At 46.5% G+C, this 19,781-nt stretch overlaps 1 protein-coding gene across 8 annotated transcripts in view, besides 2 other annotated features; it reads left to right on the plus strand.

Moving 5' to 3' along the window:
• ELAPOR1 (endosome-lysosome associated apoptosis and autophagy regulator 1) overlaps nucleotides 1–14,338 on the plus strand; it is a 92,667-nt gene extending 78,329 nt beyond the window's left edge. For 5 of the 8 annotated variants that reach the window (NM_020775.5, XM_011541827.3, NM_001267048.2 and 2 more), the window contains 9 exons: nucleotides 168–431; nucleotides 1,978–2,151; nucleotides 5,031–5,211; nucleotides 5,536–5,632; nucleotides 6,130–6,231; nucleotides 7,411–7,537; nucleotides 7,616–7,794; nucleotides 8,292–8,457; nucleotides 10,501–14,338. In NM_020775.5, coding sequence (NP_065826.3) covers nucleotides 168–431; nucleotides 1,978–2,151; nucleotides 5,031–5,211; nucleotides 5,536–5,632; nucleotides 6,130–6,231; nucleotides 7,411–7,537; nucleotides 7,616–7,794; nucleotides 8,292–8,457; nucleotides 10,501–10,569 — 1,359 coding nt within the window. In that variant the 3' untranslated portion in view covers nucleotides 10,570–14,338. Of the gene's footprint in view, nucleotides 1–167; nucleotides 432–1,977; nucleotides 2,152–5,030; nucleotides 5,212–5,535; nucleotides 5,633–6,129; nucleotides 6,232–7,410; nucleotides 7,538–7,615; nucleotides 7,795–8,291; nucleotides 8,458–8,875; nucleotides 9,096–10,469 lie in introns of those variants that run through there. The other 3 variants (XM_011541825.3, NM_001284352.2, XM_011541826.4) reach the window with 2 other exon arrangements.
• Nucleotides 1,472–1,681: an enhancer, noted in NCBI's record as "active region_1436". NCBI's record gives its function as "activates an Ori minimal core promoter by ATAC-STARR-seq in GM12878 lymphoblastoid cells {active_cell/tissue: GM12878}" and the evidence as "EXISTENCE:reporter gene assay evidence [ECO:0000049][PMID:35858748]".
• Nucleotides 4,894–6,093: an enhancer, noted in NCBI's record as "CDK7 strongly-dependent group 2 enhancer chr1:109739959-109741158 (GRCh37/hg19 assembly coordinates)". NCBI's record gives its function as "activates an origin of replication core promoter dependent on BRD2, BRD4, P300/CBP, MED14 and CDK7 cofactors, with strong dependence on CDK7, by STARR-seq in HCT116 cells {active_cell/tissue: HCT116}" and the evidence as "EXISTENCE:reporter gene assay evidence [ECO:0000049][PMID:35650434]".

Genomic DNA, 19,781 nt, shown 5'->3' on the forward strand with positions numbered 1-19,781 from the left:
TGCACACGAAGAGCTACTGGTAAGTGAGTAAAAAGAGTCAGATGCTTCTCAGATTCTTCTTAAGTATCACAGGATAGAAGATTAAGTACCTTGCTCTTTCTAGAGGCCTCAATTGTTGCTGCTGTCTCAGGCCTCTCCCCTCTCCCCTCTTGTTTCCTTGTCTCCAGAGCAGGAAGTACACCAATGACGTTGCCAAGATCTACTCCATCAATGTCACCAATGTTATGAATGGTGTGGCCTCCTACTGCCGTCCCTGTGCCCTAGAAGCCTCTGATGTGGGCTCCTCCTGCACCTCTTGTCCTGCTGGTTACTATATTGACCGAGATTCAGGAACCTGCCACTCCTGCCCCACTAACACAATTCTGAAAGCCCACCAGCCTTATGGTGTCCAGGCCTGTGTGCCCTGTGGTCCAGGGACCAAGAACAACAAGGTACCTGTAGTCTGGCATGCATCCTAAACCTGACCCTCTGCTTGGATGACCTCAGAAGATGCTGGGTCCTGGGTAGGGTTCTTGAGAGGCTGATACCCGAGTGCTCCCCCTAGCATACTCCTAGGTTGGAGTCCTGGAGGACACCCATCCAGGCTGTGACTGTGGAGGGTTAGCAGGGCTTAATTTCCAGGGTCCAGGACTCAGTCACTGACAAGTCTCCTCTTTAGTTGGCAGGTAAGAGAGGTTGGTGACTGTCTGGTCCAGAGGGTTATTTGGCATCTGTGCAGAGACCTAAAGGGAAGGAACAGTGGGGTGAGGCCTGTGGCTTATATTCAAAAATGTTCAATCCAGCCTGTTATTATGGAAATCTGCCCCTTCTTTGGAAAGATAGAAACCCAACCATTGCTGGGACATATGATAACTGGCATTGCTGTCTTCTATCCCAGTGGCTTCTCAGCTTTACAAGTATAAGGATTCCTTTCCTAAGTGGAAAAAAGCTGGGTGCAGTGGCTCACATCTGTAATCCCAACACTTTAGGGGGCTGAGGTGGGAAGATCACTTGAGCCCCGGGGTTCAAGGTTGTAATGAGCCGTGATTGTGCCACTGCACTCCAGCCTGGGTGACAGAGCAAGACCCTGTCTCTAATTAAAAAAATAAATAAAAATAAAGGCACATTAAAAAACTAATAAATAAATAAAGTGGATAAGCAGTGTTGTTGCCCCCATGTACTTTCTGCATCTGAGAAGTACTTATGACTAAAAGCTTTTAGATATTAATCGATGCTTTTAAATGAATTTGCATTTTACTGATCACAACTACATGCACATACATCTGTAAAGCACTATCAATATGTACTCTGCAAACGTTGCCTAGTTCATCTGTGCAATAAGTGCAGCGATTCTACAGACTCCTGGCAACCTCTTTCGGGTACCCTGGACTTTTGCCACAACCTTCCTTCCCTGGAGCTCCCTCTGCTGCTGTGGGAGGGAATGACAGTTGTGTGCGGCTACCGCTGAATGGTGACCCTAAAACAGAGCAATGAATGGGTTTATGGGAAGAAAAGCCCCTTTCGGAGTTCAGTTTCCTACAGAGAACCTGAGAAACAGGAAGCAGAGTTCAGTGAGTTTTGCACTGTGAGGGGGTGAGGAGGGAGCAAGAAAAGTTTCTCTTCTCCCATCTCAGATACCCTTTTCTGGTTAGTGCCTCATTGTCTTCTGCTGGAAAGTAAAAAGGATCCTCTTGTGTCTTGAGAGGCTTCTATAATCTAGGCACAGGGTTATAAGGCTATAGAATTTGTCCAAACTCCCTTCTGAACAATAACAGATTTAGGTTTGTCCATCATATATGTGCTAATAATTGAATGGCAAATGTACATAAATCCCACTAGTGCCTGTTTCACTTCTTTTACTAGCCACTCCTAATCCTTTCTTCCTCCTCTTGACCCCATTTGGGCGGGACCAGACGGGGGAGAAAACTGCTACTCTTGGCTGCAGGCCCTCAAGGCCCTTCCTGACCAGCTGGCCCGACCCGTCCCTCTCCCCCTCAGATCCACTCTCTGTGCTACAACGATTGCACCTTCTCACGCAACACTCCGACCAGGACTTTCAACTACAACTTCTCCGCTTTGGCAAACACTGTCACTCTTGCTGGAGGGCCAAGCTTCACTTCCAAAGGGCTGAAATACTTCCATCACTTTACCCTCAGTCTCTGTGGAAACCAGGTAAGGTATACCAGTTGACAGGGTGAAAATTGAATGGGGGAGGCCCATGGATCAGAAGCCAGAGACAGACACAGGAGAAAACCAGAAATCCTTCAGGTAGCAGGGGGTTGAGGAGCTTCAAAGGTTTTTACATATTATTCTCCCTGAGGACTTTTTCCCCTAAAATTAAATAATCAGGATTATAAACACTTAAGAAAATAAAGATATTTAAAATAATGTGTTCTTGCCGGGTGCCTGGTGCGGTGGCTCACGCCTGTAATCCCAGCACTTTGGGAGGCCGAGACGGGCGGATCACCTGAGGTGGGGAGTTCGAGACCAGCCTGACCAATATGGAGAAACCCCGTCTCTACTAAAAATACAAAAAAATTAGCTGGGCGTGGTGGTGCATGCCTGTAATCCCAGCTACTCGAGAGGCTGAGGCAGGAGAATCGCTTGAACCTGAGAGGTGGAGGTTGCAGTGAGCTGAGATTGCGCCATTGCACTCCAGCCTGGGCAAAAAGGTGAAACTTCATCTCAGAAAAATAATAAAAAATCAATAAAATAAAATAAAATAAGGTGTTCTTTTACCTGACCTTTATTTCCTCAAAATGAGTCTATTTAAAAATATGCAGGAGGAAGGCTAGGCGCGGTGGCTCACGCCTGTAAACCCAGCACTTTGGGAGGCCTAGGTGGGTGGATCATGAGGTCAGGAGATCGAGACCATTCTGGCTAACACGGTGAAACCCTGTCTCTACTAAAAATACAAAAAAATTAGCCGGGCGTGGTGGCGGGCACCTGTAGTCCCAGCTACTCAGGAGGCTGAGGCAGGACAATGGCATAAACCTGGCAGGCGGAGCTTGCAGTGAGCGGAGATCACGCCACTACACTCCAGCCTGGGCGACAGAGTGAGACTCCGTCTCAAAAAAAAAAAAAAACAAAAAAGCAAAAAACAAAACAAACAAAAAAAACCCCAGAAATATGCAGAAGGAAAGGTTTTTTTCCCTTGCTTGAAAAAGCAGTCTTCAGCAATCACTGCATTTGTCGCTTGTTTTCTAGAGGCTGGATAAAATCAACTGTTTCTAGTTCATCCACACGTCTCTTTGCTGACAGTATGAAAGAAAGTAACATGAAATGCTTTATAAGGAAAGATTGTCACCATCAGCCATTTCATGCTGCTGCAAATATTTCAGATCCAAAATTCAAAGGCAGAAATGCAAAGGTTAATCCCACCACTGCACTTGATTAAATTGCAACAAGCCACAATTAGCAGTTGGAAAGTTCATTTCAAATGTTACAAAAGAGGCTGGGCATGGTGGCTCACGCCTGTAATCCCAGCAATTTGGAGGCCAAGGCAGGCAGATCACCTGAGGTCTGGAGTTCGAGACCAGCCTGGTCAACATGGTGAAACCCTGTTTCTACTAAAAATACAAAAATTAGCCCGGCATGGTGGCACACATCTGTAATCCCAGCTACTCGGGAGGCTGAGGCAGGAGAATTACTTGAACCCAGGGGGCGGAGATTGCAGTGAGCCAAGATCATGCCACTGCACTCCAGCCTGGACAACACAGCAAGACTCCATCTAAAAAAAAAAGTGACAATATAAAGAGCATCTTGAGCATCTAGTCTTTGACTCTGTTGGTGGTAAGGCCTTTACATCATAGAGCTCTGACCCATCTTCTGCAGCATGCAAAGAAGTCGATGGGTGTTTATAAAGAGAACATGTCAAGAAATAAACTAATCTATGAAAGATTAGAGATAGGTGTCTCTATCTTGTTTTCAGAAGTCTTCGAAGAAGTTAAAATGAAGCCTCAGAAGTAACAGGTCATGATCACTTAGGAAATAAGACTGATTAAAGCAGGCTTCATGTAGCAAAAGTGTCATTCAGTGAATTATGGAGAGCAATGAAGGTGGGGAATTTGGGGAAATGGTGTATTTTTTTATCTACTCCTTTCCTGTTTAGAAATGCTTATGATGTACTGCCACACGATAGATCCTTAGTTCAAAGACAAAAGAACTCTATTTTATTGTAATGTAAAGGTTTTCTTCAGTTTTCAAGCTCATCTACTTCCTACAATCTAGAAAAAAAAAAAAAGGCTGAGACACCAGATTTAGCACTTTTTTTTTTTTTGAGGTGGAGTCTCACTCTTTTGCCAGGCTAGAGTGCAGTGGCACGATCTCTGCTCACTGCAACCTCCGCCTCCCAGGTTGAAGCGATTCTCCTGCCTCAGCCTCCCGAGTAGCTGGGACTACAGGCATGCGCCAGCACGTCCAGCTAATTTTTGTGTTTTTAGTAAAGACGGGGTTTCACCACGTTGGCCAGGATGGTCTCAATCTCTTGACCTCATGATCCACCTGCCTCGGCCTTCCGAAGTGCTGGGATTACAGGTGTGAGTCACTGCACCCAGCCAGCACCATTTATAATAAAATTTATAACATTGAAAATGTTGACTGGGCACAGTGGCTCACCCCTGTAATCCCAACACTCTGGGAGACTGAGGCAGGAAGATTGCTTGAGCCCAGGAGTTCAAGACCAGCCTGAACAACACAGAGAGGCCCTATCTTTACGAAAAAAAAAAAAAAAAATTAACCTGCGGTTCCAGCTACTTAGGAGGCTGAGGCAGGAGGATCACTTGAGCCCAGGAGTTCAAGGCTTTAGTGAGCTATGATTGCACCATTGCACTCCAGCCCGGGCAATAGATCAAGACTCTGTCTCAAAAAGACAAAACAAAACAAAAAAATCAAATCTGTCTCGTCATTAGACCTGGGATGAATCATTCCCCTACAACATACCATTGAAACGCTGAAAATTTAGATGTAAAAAAGCCTTCCCTATTCCCTTCTGGGAATTCCTCTGTGACCACTCACTTCTTCCTACTTCTTCCTCCCCACTCCCCAACCAGGGTAGGAAAATGTCTGTGTGCACCGACAATGTCACTGACCTCCGGATTCCTGAGGGTGAGTCAGGGTTCTCCAAATCTATCACAGCCTACGTCTGCCAGGCAGTCATCATCCCCCCAGAGGTGACAGGCTACAAGGCCGGGGTTTCCTCACAGCCTGTCAGCCTTGCTGATCGACTTATTGGTGAGTAACTCCGCTGCCTCAGCCTTGTTTGAGAGTGTGTGTGTGTGTGTGTGTGTGTGTATGTGTAAGAGAGTGTGAGGTTACCAGTCTGGGAGGTAAAAGGCCCCACATGAGGGGCCCAACCTCTTGACCTGTGTTTTCTATTCCACTCTGTGTGCAAAGTGCTCCCAGGGACTCTGACAAACCCTTGTTTCACCCTTTCATAAGCCACTCAGGGATGTGATGAGATGAAGTGAGGTTGGATGTTGACAGGTATTGGAAGAATTGAAGTGGTTGCCAGCTAATGCTACTAGTGAGAACTAATTAGGAGCTCTAATTTGGCAGGGGTGACAACAGATATGACTCTGGATGGAATCACCTCCCCAGCTGAACTTTTCCACCTGGAGTCCTTGGGAATACCGGACGTGATCTTCTTTTATAGGTGAAGATGAGAGGCTAGGCTAATGCAAGTGAAACCTAGGACTCCTCCATAATTTCTGCTGCATCCCTCCCTCTCTAGCCACCTACTGCTTATCAAGCCAGAACATGTCTGAGGTCTAGCAGATCTGCCCAGTCATGATAGCTAAGGGCTGGGAGTTCCTGATCCCAGCTTCCTGGATATTACTGGAGCAGATCTGCCCTAGAGGCAAGGAGAAATATTGGATGATCTGCAGTGGACTTCCCTTCCAGCCTAAGCAGGCTCCAGTGTATGCTAGCCATGACTTTCCTAAACCAGGGCATTTCCCCCTTGACTACATATTGTTGATCCCCACCCTTTCCACGTATAAACCAAGGCCTGTGCACTCCCTGTGTGCCAGGCTAAAGCCCAAGTCCTGACTTCCCCAGCAAGGGAATTGCTCCATGCGGATTTCTCTTGGTGGCTGTCCAATAACACAGCTGAGTGACTCATTCCCTCATGGGGGCTGGCTTTCTCTGCAGGTCCAATGATGTGACCCAGTCCTGCAGTTCTGGGAGATCAACCACCATCCGCGTCAGGTGCAGTCCACAGAAAACTGTCCCTGGAAGTTTGCTGCTGCCAGGGTAAGCCCTGCAAAGGGATGTAACAAAGGCCAAAATCTCCCTTGAAGTCATTCCATCCTGAGATCCAGAGATTACTGAAAAAGAGCAAAAAAGAAAAGAGTTTGAGATCCATTAATGGGTGCTTAGGGGCACAGTCATGGCCCCAGACCCTCAGTCTTCATATGGCAAGAATGGGGTAGAAGGAAGAGTGAAAGCTATTCTCATATTCCTGGTCCATTAAGGCAGCAGCTGCGTAGCATGGTAACCAACAGCTCGGCTGAGAGCCAGGTTGAATCATCTCCTCCACTAACCAGCTATGTTATCATGGATGCATTTCTTACCTTCTTTAGGCCTCTTTTTTCCATATCTGTAAAAATGGGCATAATGCTAAATTCCCTCAGCGGGTTGTTTTGAGGATTAAATGAGACAAGGAGACTTTAGGACGTTTCATGATCTCTGGCTATTATGAGGATTAGTAAAGGTTTAGGGATCCTAGGAATCTCTCTGCAACGAAAATACCCAGTTCTGAGGTTAATAGCTGAGTGAACTAAATCAAAAATTTCTAAATGAATATGACCACAGGACACCCCCTCCCCTCCCCGCATAACAGCAGCTAACATCTTGACGGGCACTAGCGTCTTGAGGAAGACGTTTTGGATATGCTGCGCCTAAACTGACTGGGGAGATGGGGAGCAAAGCAGGGCGTCTTGACCCAGTAGTGGTGTCTGAGTGTCAAATCCCTGTTCTTGCCATTGTAAACATCACAGTAAAGTACATAACAGGTATCCATACCGGAAGTTCATTCCTGAACCCCACCTCAACTCCAATCCCACCCCGAGGAAGCTGCATCAAAGTGGCTATTGCAAAATGTCACAAGTCTGTGGGGAGGACAGGAACCTCAAAGGGGTTGATGAGACAGCCATGCTGGAGCTCAGACACCTTACAATAGCTCTCATAAGATGTCAGCAAAAACATAAACGGGCAGAGGGTGGGGAGCCCACTGGAGGCCAGGAAGGCCTCTTATCAGTGAAATCAGAGATCAAAACCTGTGTTAAGGACTAGTTGGAAGGATCCTGGTAGGGCTAATGGTTTGGGCAGGGAGAGGGTAAATCAGGCAAGCTATGAGACAACAGGCTTCCAACCAGATCTTCCCCACCCCTCCAGCGAGTGAGAGCTCAGGTCTCTTTTCTGCTTTGCTAGAACGTGCTCGGATGGGACCTGTGATGGCTGCAACTTCCACTTCCTGTGGGAGAGCGCGGCTGCTTGCCCGCTCTGCTCAGTGGCTGACTACCATGCTATCGTCAGCAGCTGTGTGGCTGGGATCCAGGTGGGTTTCCCTCTGATCGGGCACTTCCATGAGAGAAGGGAATGGGAGATCTGAGTTCCTTGTTTTTCTCCCCAACAGAAGACTACTTACGTGTGGCGAGAACCCAAGCTATGCTCTGGTGGCATTTCTCTGCCTGAGCAGAGAGTCACCATCTGCAAAACCATAGATTTCTGGCTGAAAGTGGGCATCTCTGCAGGCACCTGTACTGCCATCCTGCTCACCGTCTTGACCTGCTACTTTTGGAAAAAGAATCAAAAGTACATGTTGCGGTATTGGAGTGTGGGGATGGACAGGGTTGGATTATTGATCAGGGAGAATATCTGAAAGTATAAATTAATGGGGTTTTTCTCTGGAGTTGGCTACAGACTCTGTGACTTATCCAGTGCATGGTTTGGTTATCCTGACTCCTGAACAGGGATGGTACCACGTGGCAGTCTATAAATGGATGTTAAATTCTCAAAAGCAAAGAGTATCCTCAGTTTGCTATTATTAACAGTACAGAGAATGACATTATGATTTTGATATTTCCATTAAATTTTGAGATCATAGAAACAGACAGCCTTAAGGAACAAAGATCACTGAACTGGGAACTAAGATTCCTTCTATTACCCCAGCCCTGACACCATTTTACCATGCTTCAGTCTCCTTACCCATGGCATGGGAATAGGACCTGTTCATAGCCTAACCTCTCTACCTCTTTCCCCCTTATTCCCACATTTTGGGATCTTGTCTTTCCCATCCTCCTGTTTTATAGACTAGAGTACAAGTACTCCAAGCTGGTGATGAATGCTACTCTCAAGGACTGTGACCTGCCAGCAGCTGACAGCTGCGCCATCATGGAAGGCGAGGATGTAGAGGACGACCTCATCTTTACCAGCAAGAAGTCACTCTTTGGGAAGATCAAATCATTTACCTCCAAGGTAGGGGTCCTGGCCAGTGCACTGAGGTCAGCCTGGAGGGCTGGAGGAGACACTGCTCCTCAGACACTGAATGGTCCTGTACCGTTCAGGGATGGGCACCCTGCTCCCCACGCCCGATACAATTCCATTTCCCCACTCTGAAAATCCTGCCTTCTCCTTCTGTGTTTCTACACCAATACTCTTTCCCCCGGGGCCCAAGGCTGCTCTTGATCAGGCTCCTTCTCTCTCAACATGCACTCCAGTTAGTGAACTGTTTGGGCCTTTTCACTTCCAGAAGGAGTACTGAACCATCTATGTTGTAAGAATCATCCCCTACTCCTTTTTTTATTTTCACTGAAAAGGGAAAAGGTGATCTCTGGGATCAACTTCTGATAGAAGTCAGGCTCTCCTTTGACCAGTGGGGGGTGCTGTCTTCCAGGTGTCTGGGTCCAGTCCTTTGGGAGCTGAATCATAGTTCAGTCTCAGCTGTTCCCCACTGAGCAATTCTGAGCTGGGAGGGCTGGCTTTGTGTGGGTGGGTGAGTATGAAGCTTATAAATGCAATACAGACAATACTGTCACTGGGTGTGGGGCCAGCAGACAGCATACAAGCAGGTCCTCCAGGGCTATAGTCCTCTGCAGCACAACTCTGCCAGTGCCCATACCTGACTACTGCTCTGAACCAGTTCATCCCAATAGGAGTGGGTGGGGAGGGCGGAAAGAGGGAGGAGGGTATTGGGAGGTGGTGAAGAAAGGACCGTGCTTGGGTGTTTAGATTGCTAAGTCTTGTTTCCTTTGTGCTGACCTGCTAGGGAGACTCCCTTGGCCTCCTTAGACTGCGATTTCTTTTTTTTTAAATGAATGGGAGAACAGTTCACCCTGGGACTCTTGAGTCTATCTGGGACTGCTAGAATTCAGCAAAGGTGCAAAGCAGGGGATTTTTAAGATTTTTGGCTCATGCCTGTAATCCCAGCACTTTGGGAGGCCCAGGCTGGAGGATCTCTTGAGGCTGGGAGTTCAAGATCAGCCTAGACAACATAGGAAGACCCCATCTCTACAAAATAAAAAACAATCAGCTGGGTGTTGTGGAGCATGCCAGTAGTCTCAGCTACTTGGGAGGCTGAGGTGGGAGGATCACTTGAGCCCAGGAGTTGGAGGCTGCACTGAACTATGATTGTGCCATTGCACTCCAGCCTGGGCAACAGAGCGAGACCCTGTCTCTAAAAAACATGTATTTATTTATTTATTTATTGAGACGGAGTGTTGCTCTGTCTCCCAGGCTGGAGTGCAGTGGCATGATCTCAGCTCACTGCAACCTCCACCTCCCAGGTTCAAGTGGTTCTCCTGCCTTAGCCTCCCTAGATGCTGGGATTACAGGTGCTTGCCATCACACCTGGCTAATTTTTTTTTTTTGTATTTTTAGTAGAGACAGGGTTTCACCATGTTGGCCAGGCTGGTCTTGAACTCCTGACCTCAGGTGATCTGCCTGCTTTGGCCTCCCAAAGTGCTGGGATCACAGGTGTGAGCCACTGTGCCTGGCCAAAAACATTTTTTTAAAAGAAAAAAATTTTTTTTTTTTTGAGACAGAGTTTCGCTCTTGTTGCCCAGGCTGGAGTGCAGTGGCATGATCTTGGCTTACTGCAACCTCTGTTCCCGGGTTCAAGCGATTCTCCTTCCTCAGCCTCCCAGGTAGTTGCGATTATAGGCGCCTGCCACCATGCCTGGCTAATTTTTGTATTTTCGGTAGAGACAGGGTCTCACCATGTTGGTCAGGCTGGTCTCGAACTCCTAACCTCAGGTGATCCACCTGCCTTGGCCTCCCAAGTGCTGGGATTACAGGCATGAGCCACCACACCCCGCCTAAAAGAAAAAGATTTTTATTGTTCTCCAACTGACCCTGAAGGGAGCAAGCAGAATAGAGGGTATCTCATTTCTGTGTTTCCACAAAGCCACTGAAACAGGAATTTCATAAGGGTTCCTTCTGTCACCTATTTTCCATTTCTCTCCTTTGTCCCCAAACTTGCCCCTGTGCAGCAGCCAGCTCCTGTCACCATCTCTCTTTCAGAGGACTCCTGATGGATTTGACTCAGTGCCGCTGAAGACATCCTCAGGAGGCCTAGACATGGACCTGTGAGAGGCACTGCCTGCCTCACCTGCCTCCTCACCTTGCATAGCACCTTTGCAAGCCTGCGGCGATTTGGGTGCCAGCATCCTGCAACACCCACTGCTGGAAATCTCTTCATTGTGGCCTTATCAGATGTTTGAATTTCAGATCTTTTTTTATAGAGTACCCAAACCCTCCTTTCTGCTTGCCTCAAACCTGCCAAATATACCCACACTTTGTTTGTAAATTATGCCCTTGCTTGTATCTTGTTTCCCAAAATGGCCCATCCGCCAGAGCCATAGCTTCGTCTGCTCATAATTCTTATAGCTTTGGAATGAAAATATTTCTATCTTCTTAAGTATAGAAACTATTTCCTCTGTCCTCTAACTTAAGGGCAGAAACAGCTGGGAGTTTTCCTCGCATGCCCTCAGCTCATGATCTCTTCAGGAGAGAGGCTGGGTGAGGAGGGTGTCGGGGTTCCCTGGTGGATAATCTTCATAGCAGCCTGGATCCATTTCCCCTGGATAACCAGCTCAAAGGGAGTGAAAATGGTAGTCTGAGGGCAAGGGGAGCAAGGCCTGGGTAAGAAAAGCCTTGAAAAGCATAAAAAGAGGCCGGGCGCGGTGGCTCACGCCTGTAATCCCAGCACTTTGGGAGGCCGAGGCGGGCAGATCATGAGGTCGGGAGATTGAGACCATCCTGGCTAACACGGTGAAACCCCGTCTCTACTAAAAATACAAAAAATTAGCCGGGCGTGGTGGCGGGTGCCTGTAGTCCCAGCTACTCGGGAGGCTGAGGCGGGAGAATAGCGTGAACCTGGAAGGCGGAGCTTGCAGTGAGCCGAGATCGCGCCACTGCACTCCATCCAGCCTGGGTGACAGAGTGAGACTCTGCCTCAAAAAAAAAAAAAAAAAAAAAGAAAAGCACAAAGAGAGGCAACAAGGAATGTTTTTGTTTTTGAGACAGGCTCTCACTCTGTCACCTAGGCTGGAGTGCAGTGGCATAATCACTGTTCAGTGCAGCCTCAAGCTCTTGGGCTCAAGCTATCCTCCCATCTCAACCTCTCAAGTAGCTAGGACTACAAGTGTGCACCACCAGGCTCACTAATTTTTATATTTTTTGTAGACACAGGGTTTCACCATGTTGCCCAGGCTGGTCTCCAACTCCTGGGCTCAAGTGATCTGTCCGCCTCAGCCTCCCAAACTGCTGGGATTACAGGCATAAGCCACTGCACTCAGCCTTTTATTTGTTTTTTAAACCACGTAGCTCATTGCCTTCTCTTAAGTAAATGATAGATATTCTCACTGAAGCCAAAGGAATAAGTTCATCAAGAAAATGCCCAAAGCCCTGGTGGATACATCCTCCCTATCTTTTTTTTAAACCTTCCACTATCACTCTATGACACTGAAAAGAACCAGGTAAGCCCCAAACCCAGATGTTCCAGCCTTATCCTCTGTTGGGTTTACCCACAGACATAGCAAACCCTGTCAGTGAGGAAAATTCCCCATCCTTGAGTGCCCCCGTCCTAGAAGTTTGGGCCATATTATGGAACAGGGGTCTCTTATTTGAAAAGAGCACAAGGAGGCCAAGATTTTAATGGGGCACTTTAGGGGATACAGCCCACAATGGCATGGGCCTGAGGTGGCCGTGATGTCTGCTTCTAAGCTTAACGCATCTGCTCAGGCACAGAATAAACGTCTAGGCTGGCCAAAAAAGGAACTGAATCCCAGGCCCATACGCCAGCACCAGAATCAAACCAGTCTTCAAGGAAGGAAGGCTAGGAGAGTTTAACAAGATTTTCACTGGGCCCAGCATGGTGGCTCACACCTGTAATCCCAAGGCAGAATGGTGGCTTGAGCTCAGGAGTTCAAGACCAGCCTGGGCAACACAGTGAGACCCTGTCTCTAAAAAATTTAAAAATAAACAAGGTGTTCACCAAGCTGGGATACTTCTCACTATTAAGCCCCTATCTTTCTCTTTTTTTCATTCTCAATTGCTTTGTGTGATAAAAAACTAAAGAGACTTCTGGTCCAATTTCTGGCAACATCCCTTCTGAAAGGTGAGTAGAGTGGGTGTCTTCTATGCCCATTTTCCCCAATTTTACACAAACTATTATCAATGAACTTTTAAGTACCTAGAATGGGTAAAACCAGAGCAAGACTTTAAATTACCTTCTTCTTTCTTCTACTGGCAGTTCTGCCTCCATCACTATCAGGCTAGGGTGACCTTCCCTTGGTCAAGCCCCAATTGCCCATGATTTGTGCCTGTGCCCTTTCTCCAGTGACCATTTGGTGACCAGATGGTAGATATAGAAAGGGGATGGCATTTGCAAGTGACTAGTCTGCCACAAAATGCTCATCTGATTAGCCACTGCTGCCCTGGCAATGGCTTTGTAAGAGTCAATGAGAACTAGAGCCAGGCTGTGGTCCCTGGCCATCAACAGTGTTGGTGACGGCAGGGAGTCCCTTTGGTTTAATAAATCCAGTTTTTCTTTGGGTATCCAAATTCTCCCCTCCTTTTGTAGGAGTCAGGCTCTCAGAACCTGTGTCCATGTTGGAACTTCCCCCAGTGTGGATGCAGATACGCAGCTCCTGAGCTCCAGCCTAAAGTCTTCTGTAGCCTCAGCAATACTTGGGCACCTGCTGTCTCACTGAATAGCTTTCTTTTGTGACAAAGGCCACAGACAGCCCTTAGACTATTCCGGAAACAGTAGGAAAAATTACATATGTCTTTGACTTCTTTATTCTGACTCCACTGATTTTAGCCATAATACTTTAAGGAGCTACTTTTTACTACCCCTTACCGTGCTGACTTCTGCAGGTCTGCCCTGTGACCTGTCAGGAACTCCTGAGTTACGCTACTGGGGTCACCTGTTGCTCCCCTAGCAAGTTAGGCATGTCATATATTTTTAACAGCTTTATTGAGATATAATTCACATATTACACAATTCACCTTTAAAACATACGATTCAATGGTTTTCAGCAAACTCACAGAGTTGTCCGCCCACTTGAGAGCAAACACATGTTCAATTTTCTTTTCCTTTTTTTTTTTGAGACAGAGTCAGCTTTGTTGCCCAGGCTGGAGTGCAGTGCCATGATCTTGGCTCACTGCAGCCTCCCCATCCTGGGTTCAAGTGATCCTTCTGCTTCAGCCTCCCCAGTAGCTGGGATTACAAGCATGCGCCACCACGCCTAGCTAATTTTTGTGTTTTTAGTAGAGATGGGGTTTCACCATGTTGGCCAGGCTGGTCTCAAACTCCTGGACTCAAGTGATCCACCCACCTCGGCCTCCCAAAGTGCTGGGATTACAGGTGTAAGCCACCGTGCCTGGCCTACATGTTCAATTTTCTATGAACAAAGGCTTTAGTCCTTGACCCAGGGCTAAAGTGGTCTGTCCAAGCTGTTGTTGGTAGAGGGAGTATGATAAAATGTTTAAATCTCATTTGGTTACCTTGAGTCCTGGAACATGCAGTAACTGTCATGCTATAGACATCATCTGTATTTGGCTGGGAATACAAATGAAGATTGTGGTGTATTCAAGCAGTAGGGTTTTTGCTTTTGTTTTTGTTTTAGTGCCAACAAAACTTTTTTTTGTCTGACTACATTAAAGATAAGACTGACTATATTTATACAACAGAAACTTTGTAATAGATTTTTTCAGCTTTGTGAAATCGAATTTTTTTTCATCAGGGCTGGTTGGATTTCCTTTTTACCCTGTAATCCAAGCGTTAATAGTTTGTTAGAAGATGGGTTATTGCATGTCACTTTTTTTTTTTGTAAAATAAAAACATACCTTACAAGTTGTTTTTCTTAAACATGGGTTGGGTGGCTGGAGGGGTGAGTGGGAAATGTAAGTGTCCTGGAAGCTTAAACTGAAAAGGAGAAGGATTCCACATTCGCAGAGAGGCAGAGAAAAGAGCACAGACTTTGGAACAAGATGGACATAGGCTAGAAGCCTCCCACTACTTGTTGAGGAATCAGTCAATAACCAAAGCCTCAGTTTCCACAATAATAAAATGCATCTAATGATACCCAACACACCAAGATTGAATGAGCTCAAAAGAAATAACTCATAAACCACTTCGCATGCTACTTCCCTTCCCTTCTGCTCAGGTTTCTTTCAGGAAACATGAGGCCAGCCACATAACAATAAATCCACAAATAGAAGCAAAATTAGCTTCTTTGGGTATGAAGTAGATTATTACAGACTAGATGTGGAGAAAATCCTAGATGATATCAAGGGCCTACCATTTCCTGAGGTTGCTAGATTTTTGCTTTCTTTCTTTTTTTTTTTTTTTTTCTGAGGCTCACTATGTTGCCTAGGTTGGAGTGCAATGGCACAATCTCAGCTCACTGCAGCTCCAACCTCCTGGGCTTGAGTGATCCTCCCACCTCAGCCTCCTGAGTAGCTACAGGCATGCGCCACCACACCTGGCTAATTTTTGTATTTTTTGGAGAGACAGGGTTTCACCATGTTGCTGGTCTCAAACTCCTGGGTTCTAGAGATCTGCCCACCTTGGCCTTCAAAGTGCTGGGATTGCAGGCATGAGCCAGCGTGCCTGGCAGGATTTTTCTGCTTCAGGACTTTATTCTAGTTGAGGGCACTTGATCCCCAAAAATAATTCTCTCAGCTATTAATAGATGAGTTGGGAATGTCACACTTTTCAGACTGAATGGCACTAAGTGCCAGATGTTCTTCGTCAGGGTCCTTAGGTAATTTCTAGTCTTCTAACAGGCCTCTCCGCGCCAGTGCTTCCCACACCAGTATCACCCCCCTGCTCTGTAGCCAGAGCTCTTTTTCTTTTTTTCATGAAAAGTTTTCTGGTAAAAGGCAGAAAACCTGCTAACCAAATTCTAAAAGAGGGTGTGGCGGCTCATGCCTGTAATCCCAGCACTTTGGGAGGGCCAGGCTGGAGGATCGCCTGAGGCCAGGAGGTTGAGGTTGCAGTGAGCTATGATGGTGGATTGCACCACTGCCCTCCAGCCTAGGTGACAGAGGCAGACCCTGTCTGTAAAAAAAATAAAAAAATTCTACAAGAGCTGGAACACTCAGAGCCGTTTTTCTAACACATCTGATGGCACTCAAATGTGCCATCTCTGATGGCTCCTTATTGCTGTCAGGCAGGAGCAATTGGCAGCAGCTCACCTACACTCCAAGGCTGGTTGTTTATGACCCACATCTACTTTGACTGGGTGGTACCTGGGTTGTACTGGTGGTTAAATATTTTGAACATCACCCCTGCTTATAACATACAGTCCAAACTCTAAGAAGGTAAGTAGAAAAGAAAACGCATTCGTTTGGCATCTGTGTCAAGCCTGGACTTAATGCTTTCACAGCATTGCCTTTTTTCATTTTCAGAACAGCCCTGGAGGCAGCTACTATCCCCATTACACCCATTACAATAGAGGAAGAAACTGTGTCTCCAATAGATTCAGTTACGTGGCCTACAGGGTCCCTAACGGCCCACCGGCCCACCTTCCCAACATTGTTTCTACTCTAACCACACTGAGCTTTTGATGGTCTCTGAGTCATAAGCACCTTCATGCCTCCAGCATTGGAATATGCTCTCCTCTCTGCCCCTCTGCTTCCTTTTCACCTCACAGATCCCACTCAGCCTTCCACGTCACCCCACTGTGGGAAATAACAGGGCAAAAACAGTCCCATGGGAGTACCGCTATGAATCTTTATGAATACAACCGTGTACTGTGCAATGCAACAAACAAGCAACAGACACAATCAAGCTTGAAACTGCGGGGCAGTGAGAGGGGTGTGTAATGATATGGAAATGATTTTAAGAATTTCCCAATCACTGACAAAGAAGTAAAATACATTATCAGGTGACCAGGCAAGAATATACTTACGACTTGGTCTAAATCTTAAGGAAGACAATTAATTAACTGGGAAGCATAGAGCAACAATGAGTATTAAGAGATAGAGAAACTGATTTAGGGTTTTTAAGAGCTATTCAAGGAGAATTTGAAATATAAACTAATTTTGTCTCAGTGCCAAAGTTAACAATCCCACATAAAATGCAATTCCCTATAGAGTAGTTCAGCCTTAACGGTACTTTCACTTTCCACAGTTTCAGTTACCTAAAGTCAACTTAAGTCAAAAAATATTAAATGAAAATTCCAAAAATAAACAATTTATAAGTTTTAAATTGTATGCCATTATGAGTAGCATAATGACATCTTGTGCCATCTCACTCCTTCCCACCTGGGACATGAATCATCCCTTTGTCCAGAGTATCCATACTGTCTGCACTATCCACCCATTACTCACTTAGCAGCCATCTGAGTTACCAGATCGAAAAAGCACAGTATATGTAGGGATCCGTACTCTCCGTGGTTTCAGGCATCCACTGGAGACTACCGTAAGATACAGTGTGGTGGGAGAATTGATTTCGCACCCCAATTCTATCAGATGGAGAGGCTGGATCAAAGTCCCTCCAAGTCCTGGCAGCTTTCCCCGACCCACGCTATTTTTAAATGATTCCTGCTTAGTTGCTGAAGGATAGCAACGTGGACCTCCTTTGTTACTGTGTCTCTCTGATAGAAGGGAGTGGGTAAGCCAGAACTGGAGGCAGGGTTGTCAGTTCCTCCTGAAACAGTATCATCAATACTACTGTACTGTGGGAAACGGGAAGGGTGTCTAACCAATTTGCAGGGAGGGGTAAAGAGGATGTAAGAGAAGGCTTCCAGGAGAAAGGAGGAATTAGCCAGGTAAGAGGAACAGAGAAGGGAAAGGGAGTTCCAGGTAGAAGGAACTTGTGCAACCAAAGGCTCAGAGGGAAGGAAGGGAGCCACAAGAAGGTTGGAATGGGGAATACGAGGGGGAAATGTTAAGAGATAAAGAGGGCCAGGTGAGGTGGCTCATGCCTGTAAACCCTGCACTTTAAGAGGCCAAAGTGGGTGGATTGCTTGACCCCAAGAGTTCGAGACCAGCTTGGGCAACATGGCAGAACCCTGTATCTACCAAAACAAAAACAAATACAAACATTGCCTGGGGCATGGTGGCACACATCTGTAGTCTCAGCTACTCGGGAGGCTGAGGTGGGAGGATCCCCTGAAGCTGGAAATGTCGAGGCTGCAGTGAGCCATGGTTGTACCACTGTTTTCCAGCCTGGGCAACAGAGTGAGACTCAGTCTCACATACACACACACACACACACACACGAGATAAAGAGGGAACATGTTAGAGAAGCTGGTAGGGACAGATCATATATAGCGTTGCCAGCCATGTTTGGATTCCCCTGAGGGTAACAGGTATCCACAGAAGACTTCTAGCAAGGGAGTGACAGGACCGGACTTGTTCGGTGAACATTGAGAAACCCTACTCCAAATCCAAGACAGAGGAACACAAAGGGCTGCCACAGTGAGGCCTCAGAGAACCCTTCCGAGTTAGCCAGCTCCAAACTGGGAAAACTGAGGTAGGCAGCTTTTGTTGGGTGCCTCACACCCGCTTTTTTTGCTCCGTCTCTGCAGTTGCTCTTTTCCCCTAGGCTGCCCACTAGCTGCCCAGGATCCCCAAGGCAGTATCTTCACCCAGGACTCTGCTCGCTGACCTGCAACAAGCTCCCATCCTCTCAGCCTACTTCCTCGCAACCCACTCACTCAGGGAGGATGTAACAAGCACTTACCATGGGTAAGGCAGGGTGCTAGGTCCCGTGGGGAGAAAAATGCAAATACGCAATGGTCTCTGCCCTATAAGATCAGGCCCCATAGCATAGTCAGGGTCCTCACTGACCTGTTTTCTGCTAAGGATTGCTACTAAAAGGGCAAAGCCCAAACATTAGGCTATCTTAGGTATTTACCTGTGTCCTGGTTTTGATTCCATCACTTATCTTCTCTGGGGCTGTTTCCTTATATAGAAAATAAAAGGGTTAGCCTGGCTGGCTGTTTTCCAGTCAGGGCTTCTTGAGCACTTCAGTCCTCAGAGGCAGTGCCCAAGAGCATTCTTGGTAGTAAGGGTTAACAGAAATCACATATTCAAAGGTGGCAGGGCTTCACACCATCACTCCATAACGAAAGTTTTTATGTTGATTTGTTTTTGCGTTAGCTTCTGGCAGGAGTTACTTGGTGCAGTAACACTGCCTATTTCCTGCTGATCAGAATTTCTAGGTGGCAGCCATATAGATCTGATTAATAAAAAAGGCAAATTATTATTTTTTAAAAATCATGTTCATTAGACAAAAATATTTCAAAACATGAGGGACAAGGTGATGAAAAAATCAGGAATTATTAAGTTAACAGATAGCTGAAGCTCCCCTCCAACTCTAAAAATCCCACGATTCTAAGCTGATGAAGTATGCTATTATGTTAATTTATTATACTCATCAGGTAACATCAACTTTTTTTTTTTTTTTTTTGATACAGAGTCTCACTCTGTTACCCAGGCTGGAGTGCAGTGGCGTGATTTAAGCTCACTGCAACCTTCGCCTCCTGGGTTCAGGCAATTTTTGTACCTTAGCCTCCCAGGTAGCTGGGATTACAGGCATGTGCCACCACACCCAACTAATTTTTGTATTTTTAGTAGAGACGGGATTTTGTCATGTTGGCCAGGCTGGTCTCGAACTCCTGACCTCAGGTGATCCACCCACCTTGGCCTCCCAAAGTGTTAGGATTACAGGCATTAGCCACCGCGCCCGCCCATATGAACATTTTAAAGGGAGATGTTTGTAATCTAATGATAAGATCAATTGTAAAAATGCATGAATAAATTTGGAGAGATCAGAATTTCAAGATCACTTGTTGAATGACATTGATGACCTTCCTAAAGGGTTGACCCAGTGGCCCTCCTCCCCTAGGCCTGGGATCACTTCAGCCTCAGAAACACCTGCCACTGTTTTAGAAACTTAATTGGCAATACACTTTGGCGGTGCCTTCAATGACATGGAAGCAGGGAGCGCCCCCATCACAGACCTTGCCCTCAGAAGGTTTTAGGGAACCCAACACTTTGAGGAGAGTCTTCTTAGATGTTTTCCTCCAAGACTGCAGCTCCTCACCCTTCCTTTCCACTGGTTTTAAATCTAATACCATAGGCAGGTTGAACCAAGGAGAGCACACCCAGACAAGCCCCTTTCCTCTGCCTCCCTCAGGGTCTCTACTTAGCTCTATCATTGTTGTTAGACCTGACCTACACTTCAGGGTTGGCTTGGCAGAGGCTTTTTGGGGAGCAGGGATAGTGTAAGAGGCAAAAAAAAACAAAAAACAAAAAACAAAAACAAAAACCCACACTCAACA

This window comes from Homo sapiens, chromosome 1 (genome assembly GCF_000001405.40).
Source record: "Homo sapiens chromosome 1, GRCh38.p14 Primary Assembly".
Classification (NCBI taxonomy): domain Eukaryota; kingdom Metazoa; phylum Chordata; class Mammalia; order Primates; family Hominidae; genus Homo; species Homo sapiens.